This window comes from Homo sapiens, chromosome 12, assembly GCF_000001405.40.
Source record: "Homo sapiens chromosome 12, GRCh38.p14 Primary Assembly".
Lineage (NCBI taxonomy): Eukaryota > Metazoa > Chordata > Mammalia > Primates > Hominidae > Homo > Homo sapiens.
In genome coordinates, this window is record NC_000012.12 from 76,659,944 (window position 1) to 76,666,531 (window position 6,588).

A 6,588-nucleotide genomic window follows, 5' to 3' on the forward strand; every position below is an offset into this window, starting at 1 on the left:
GGAAAAGAAAAAGAAATTAGTTGGGCTTGGTGGCATGTGCCTGTAGTCCCAACTACTCAGGAAGCTGAGGTGGGACAATCACTTGAGCCCAGGAGTTCAAGGCTGCGGTGAGCTATGATTGTGCCTCTTGCTGCAGCCTGGGTGACAGAGAAAGACTTTGTCACTTAAAAAAAAAAATCGTGTCTCCTAAGTTAGGGTGCCTCTCCTATGATGCATCCCCTGTATGCAGGAGTCACCTGACCCTCTTTGTGTTGCTCTGTAGAAATTGGGTTTCAAGGAACTGGTCGAGGAAAAATGATACTCTAGCAATTGCTGTTTCTATGAGTAATAAATTGTTCTTTGTCTCTGATACAGGAGTCTCATTTCTTCTGCGAGCATCTGTGAAATTGTGTCAGGCTTTTAGCTTGTAAGAACAGTAAACCCTTTCGGCCGGAACCGCCATCTTCCAGTAATTCGCCAAAATGACGAACACAAAGGGAAAGAGGAGAGGCACCCCATATATGTTCTCTAGGCCTTTTAGAAAACATGGAGTTGTTTGTTTGGCCACATATATGCGAATCTATAAGAAAGGTGATATTGTAGACATCAAGGGAATGGGTACTGTTCAAAAAGGAATGCCCCACAAGTGTTACCATGGCAAAACTGGAAGAGTCTACAATGTTACCCAGCATACTGTTGGCATTGTTGTAAACAAACAAGTTAAGGGCAAGATTCTTGCCAAGAGAATTAATGTGCGTATTGAGCACATTAAGCACTCTAAGAGCTGAGATAGCTTCCTGAAACGCGTGAAGGAAAATGATCAGAAAAAGAAAGAAGCCAAAGAGAAAGGTACCTGGGTTCAACTAAAGCGCCAGCCTGCTCCACCCAGAGAAGCACACTTTGTGAGAACCAATGGGAAGGAGCCTGAGCTGCTGGAACCTATTCCCTGTGAATTCATGGCATAATAGGTGTTAAAAAAAAAAATAAATAAAGGACCTCTGGGCTATAAAAAAAAAAAAAAAAAAAAGAACAGTAAAATCTCAGTCCCTTCGCAGTTCTTCATATGAAGGTTCTTAGGTACCTCCAAACCCCATGTTACAAAGTATGTGGGTAAGAAAAAGCCCTACAAGATGTGTAAAATTTGCTCTGCCCAGGCAGACTGTGGTGATTGCATGTGGTGGACGAGGAGGCAGGAATGTTTCCAGAAGCCTACAGGGTTTTGGGAACTTCTTATTCCAGGAGCACAGGATGTTTTCTTCATTTTGACATATGCACCATTGACAATGAAGCTGTAGAGACCAGAGGGGTGGGGTCCTATCTAAATCACATGGAATTCTGGGTCCTCTCTGTTTAGTCCTTTCCCATAATTACTTAACATAAATTTTGAATTTACAAATTACAAATACATACACAAAATGATACCACATATTTTACAAGGATATAAACATATTCAACAATGTATATTGCTTATACACTGGAATAGGTCCTTATGATAGAGAAAAGAATAGGAGTGAAAATCAAAGATAAGGGAGCAAATTAGAACAAAACAAGAGAAGATCTTTGCAAAGACTTTGATGATGGTAGCATGCCATAAGTAACTCAGCTTTCTCCACCTTAGATCCAAAACCAAAATACAATGCAATATAGGTTACATTTTACCATATTTCAGCAAACCACCCGAAATTGGGTGACAGATGTCAACCTCAATTCCCACCAAATCCAGATACAAGGCTTACTTGAGCTTGACTAACTCCAATTTGAATTCTGGATTCTATATCCTTTTCCAAGGGGGTAGACATTTCCAAGTCTTATACATTAGGATGGACCCCTATGATGGAGAGGGGAATAAGGGTGTGGATCAAGAATGAAGAAAAAAATCAAGTGAAAGAGGGTCCTTGCTCAGACTGATGATGATAGCATGCCATTTTAGGTACAAAAAATTACACACATATATATATATATATATGTATGTACATATATATATATGTGTGTGTGTGTGTGTGTGTGTATATATATATATATATATATATATATATATATATGCATATAACATTCTGTCAAACAACCTGTAATGGTTTGAGACATGTGAATCCAAATTCCAACTCCAATTTGAATAGGTTTTATTCTTTTTCTGAATCTTGAGCTCTGTCATCTATTCACTGTGTTGCTTCTGCTCTTAGAACTAGGCATTTGACTATCAAACTTACTTTTCATCTTTACAACTTTTTTTTCTTTTCCTTTTTTCTTTTTTCTTTTTTTTTTTTTTTTTTTTTGAGAGAGTCTCATTCTATTGCCCAGGCTGGAGTGCAGTGGTGCGATCTCGGCTCACTACAACTTCTGCCTCTCGGATTCAAAGGATTCTCATGCCTCAGCCTCCTGAGTAGCTGGAATTACAGGCATGTGCTACCAAGCCCAGCTAATTTTTGTATTTTTAGTAGAGACAGGGTTTCACCATGTTGGCCAGGCTGGTCTTGAACTCCTGACCTCTAGTGATCTGCCTGCCTCAGCCTCCCAAAGTGCTAGGATTACAGGCGTGAGCCACCGTGTCTGGCCATCTTTACAAGTTTCTTATTCCCTCAGAATAGGATCACCCTGGTCCTTCAGGGTCCAACAGCTTCTGTCCCTCAGCCCACTTGGCTGGCACCATGGCCAGGTTATATTGGACCTTCTGGTGGAACCACACAGAACATAGAATGTGACTTGGTGGATGAGCAGGAGTCTCAGAATTGGTGGGGAATACGAAAGCCTCTGAGGGATATCGTGAGCAACTCTTTCTATCGTAAGACAGTGGTGGTGGGTGGGCGATGGGAAGCAGTTGTAATATGGGAGACAAAGGATGAAGAGGTTGAGGGAGAAAGATAAAATAATGAGAGAAGAGACAAGGAGGTGACCATGAAAGAAACTAAAGTTAATTTCTTATTACAATTTATCAGTGTTCAGCATAGGATCTGTGAGTTTCAGAGTAAGTGGGTTGGGGCCAGTGAGGCAGCCATACTTGAATGATCCAAGAGCATCAGATGGAAAGGAAATAGAACATACACCTTCAGCCCTCTTGGAGTTGGACCAATGGATATCTAAATAGTAGATGAGTGGGCTGTGACAGTAATGAATGTCCAAAGGGAAGTCTCTCCTTTTATTTCACAATTATGAACAAACAAAAATGCTTAACGTATTAGAAATTTGCTAGTTTATACAAGGAGCCTGCCAATTTCACATACCAGCTACTGACTTACTGTGATTATTTTTTGTTTGATATTAAACTTCTTCCCATTATCCCTTGTCCAGAGCATTTTCAAGGAATGACAATTAAGGAAAGAAGACTGGTTGTGGGTTCCATGGAATGATTTTTTTTTCTTTTTTTTGTATACCACACACAAGACTAAGTGGCCATCCTCTTATGTTCAGTGGTTTGAATGGGATAGAAGTTCATTTCTTCCTCACGTAATAGTTCGGGGGGAGCATTCCAGGGCTGTCATGATGATTCAATGGTGTCAGATCTCAGCCTCATTTTAGCTGGTTTTTCTACTATATCTAGTGTATGTCCCTTGTCCTTAAAGGTACAGATTGTTCATCCCATATCCCTGATCCAAGTAGCAAGATATAGGATTTGGAGGAAAGAAGGTAATCTCCTTCCCTTTCCTGTCACAAATGAAAAGTTGCACTCAATACTTGGCTGACATCCCAGTGGCCAACACTTCATCACAATACTATAACTAGCTGCAAAGGGGCTTGCAAAATGTGGTATTATGGGCTAAATGTTTGTGTCCTCCCTCAAATGTATGTGCTGAAATCCTTATCCTCCATGTGATGGCATTAGGAAGTATGGCCTTTGAGGGGGTGATTAGGTCATAAGGGTGGAGCCTCTATGAATGGGATTAGTGCCTCTACAGGAAGAGACATGAGAGAGCTTTCCACCCTCTTCCTGCCATGTGAGGATACAATGAGAAGTTGGGAGTCTGCAACCTGGAAGTGGGTCCTCACCCAAACTTGACCATGCTGGCACCCTGATCTCAGACTCCCAGCCTCTAGAACTGTAAGAAATACATTTCTGTTGTTTATAAGATGCCCAGTTCATGGTATTCTGTTATAGCAGCCTCAACTATGACATGTAGTACTTGCAGGGTTGCCATATGTCCACCTAAAATTTTTATTACTCATGAAAAAGGGGAATATAGGAATATTGGGCAATAACTACCAGTATTAGCCATAGTAAGATATTCACAGAAAATTTGATCTGAGATTTTTTTGGGGGTGCCAGTGATAAGAGCTTATTCTTACAATAATGGCTGGGCATGATGGCTCACACTTATAATTTTAGCACTTTGGGAGGCCAAGGGGGGGTATCGCTTGAATCTAGGAGTTCAAGACAAGCCTGCGGAATATGGTGAAACCCTCTCTCCACTAAAAATACAAAAATTAGTCAGGCGTGGTGGCATGTGCCTGTAGTCCCAGCTACTTGGGAGATTGAGGCAGGAGGATCACTTGAGTCCAGGAAGTCAAGGCTGCAGTGAGCCAAGAAAAAAAAAAGAAAGAAAGAAAGGACTTGCTTACTTTCACAGTAATGAAGACTATCAAGAGTTCAGTACAAATAATTTAAATGTCTGACATGACCTCAGGCCTTGAGGAACTTATAGCTTCACCGAGGGAGATGATAGAAATATAAACCAATTATTTCAATAGGAAATAAGATTGAAGATTAAGTATTCACAAAATGCTATGAGAAGACAAGCATGGAAAAATTGATCCATATATGAGTTCTTTAAAGACTCCTTTGCTGAACACCAAAGATGAATCAAGTCTCAAAGGAATAAAAATATATAGGATTAAACACAAAGAACTACAGAAATTAAACATTCAAACAATTTTCAACAATACCTCCTTACTAATAACTAGAGGTTAATTCCTTTGGTGAAGTTATAAAGTCATCAGTGGCCCCGGCAATATCTTCAGTGACGTTTTCAGTGGGTCTGCAGCCTCCAAAGAGCTGTAGCACATTCCAGTTTTGCTACAGCTGTTCCAAAGAATTCAGGGAACCAGCCCTTGGTGGGGCAGACCTCCTTCTGTCCTTTAAAAGAGAAACAGTTAAGAGGTCTGTTTGCTTGGTCATACCCTCCATGAGTAAAACTATACTAAGGAGAAGAATGCAAGAAATCACCTGGTTTCACTGGCTCTCACTCCCACCTACTACAGGATCTCAGGATTCTGCAAGGACCCTTCCAAACCCAGGTATTTCTAAAGGTCCGCAGGGTGTCTCTCCCATGTGTCCCCAAACAAGGCTAGTCAGTTACCTTACAGTGACAGTCATTTTGTTTCCTCTCCTCTCACCCCAACCCTTCTCCCCTTGCTGATTGGTTTTACCTGGAGAAGGAGGGGGATGTGTAAAACCAACCAGCAAGATGATCCTGCCACTTCTCCTGGCTGTGCCTGCTGGACTCTTCTAACTACTTGATGCTTCCAATACAGTAGAGCCCTGGATATGCCAATGTTGTGTGCAGATTGTCTCTTCTCCTTTTAGAAGCTTACCCATCCAGTGCTGCCGCCTTGCTGAGGTTTTGTGAAAGAACTCTTCATTTTTGAGTTTATCTCTACCTTCCATTCCATGCCCTGTGCTGAAATGCGAGTCTTCAGGGCCTGATCTAATGGCAAACCCAAGTTGAGGACATCATATAGTACTCAGAATTGCCCCTCCCCTCCTGCCACTTTGACATATATTCCCTTTTCTCTGGCAAGATTCTCTCCAGAGGGCTCCTCCTTTACTCTTGCAAATAGACTTCTTGAAGGCCTGCCCCTGCTGCTCACCGGGAAAGGCCTGACATGTCTGAATTCCACTTGAGTTCAAAGTGGGACAGATTCCAACACCAACTTGAGGAAAGAGGAGGTGTGTACTATGCTTCCTCTTTCCTGACATTGCCTCTGAGCCACATCCGCCCTCACCTTCAATCTAACCGTAGAAATCAAGTTTCATCTGAAACCCAGAAGCCCATCTCTTTGGTATTTTGGCACAGAACAGTCATCCAGAGGAGAAGCACTTTTCAGTGCAACAGAGATTTAAGAAATATCTCCTAATGCTGATGTGCTCTCCCTTTTTTTGGTAATCTGGTTGTCTTCCCTGCAGCCCCTTTGCTATTCTAACCCCAGGAAAGTGTGTGTGTGTGTGTGTGTGTGTGTGTGTGTGTGTGTGTGTGTGTGTGTTTAGTGACAGCTCCTGTCAGATAAGAAGGGGAAATAGAAAGCCTCCTCAGTATTGGGTGAGAAGAAGGAAGGAAGCAAAGGTTACGCTATGGGATGGGAGTGTCCAGGCGCAATAAGAGTTTACTTAGGTGAGCCAACAAGGGTAAGGGGAAGCATGAAAGAAGTGGATTTCAGAAGGCTTTTTTTTTTTTTTTTTTTTTTTTTGCATGCTAATGGGCCCTTTGGGTGGCTGGTGCTTACTTCGGCAGTTCTCCGCTGAGATGATTGCCTGTTGTCTTTTATTCTAGCCAAAGCTGTTGGTTGTATCTGGCTCTTGACTGCAGCCTGCTCTAATATCCCTGATGCTAATTTGAGTGAGGCGGAGGTTAGAGGAAAACCACATTAGTTTAACAACATGGATTCGTGATTTTCACCAGT

At 41.9% G+C, this 6,588-nt stretch overlaps 1 long non-coding RNA gene and 1 pseudogene across 1 annotated transcript in view; one reads left to right on the forward strand and one right to left on the reverse strand.

The window, feature by feature from the left end:
- LOC105369851 (uncharacterized) overlaps positions 1-5,025 on the reverse strand; it is a 28,850-nt gene extending 23,825 nt beyond the window's left edge. Inside the window, exon 1 of the long non-coding RNA XR_945115.3 lies at positions 4,855-5,025. This is a non-coding gene — a long non-coding RNA (uncharacterized LOC105369851). The remainder of the gene's footprint in view (positions 1-4,854) is intronic.
- RPL21P98 (ribosomal protein L21 pseudogene 98) lies at positions 422-985 on the forward strand (annotated as a pseudogene).
- Positions 5,026-6,588: the final 1,563 nt, after the last annotated feature.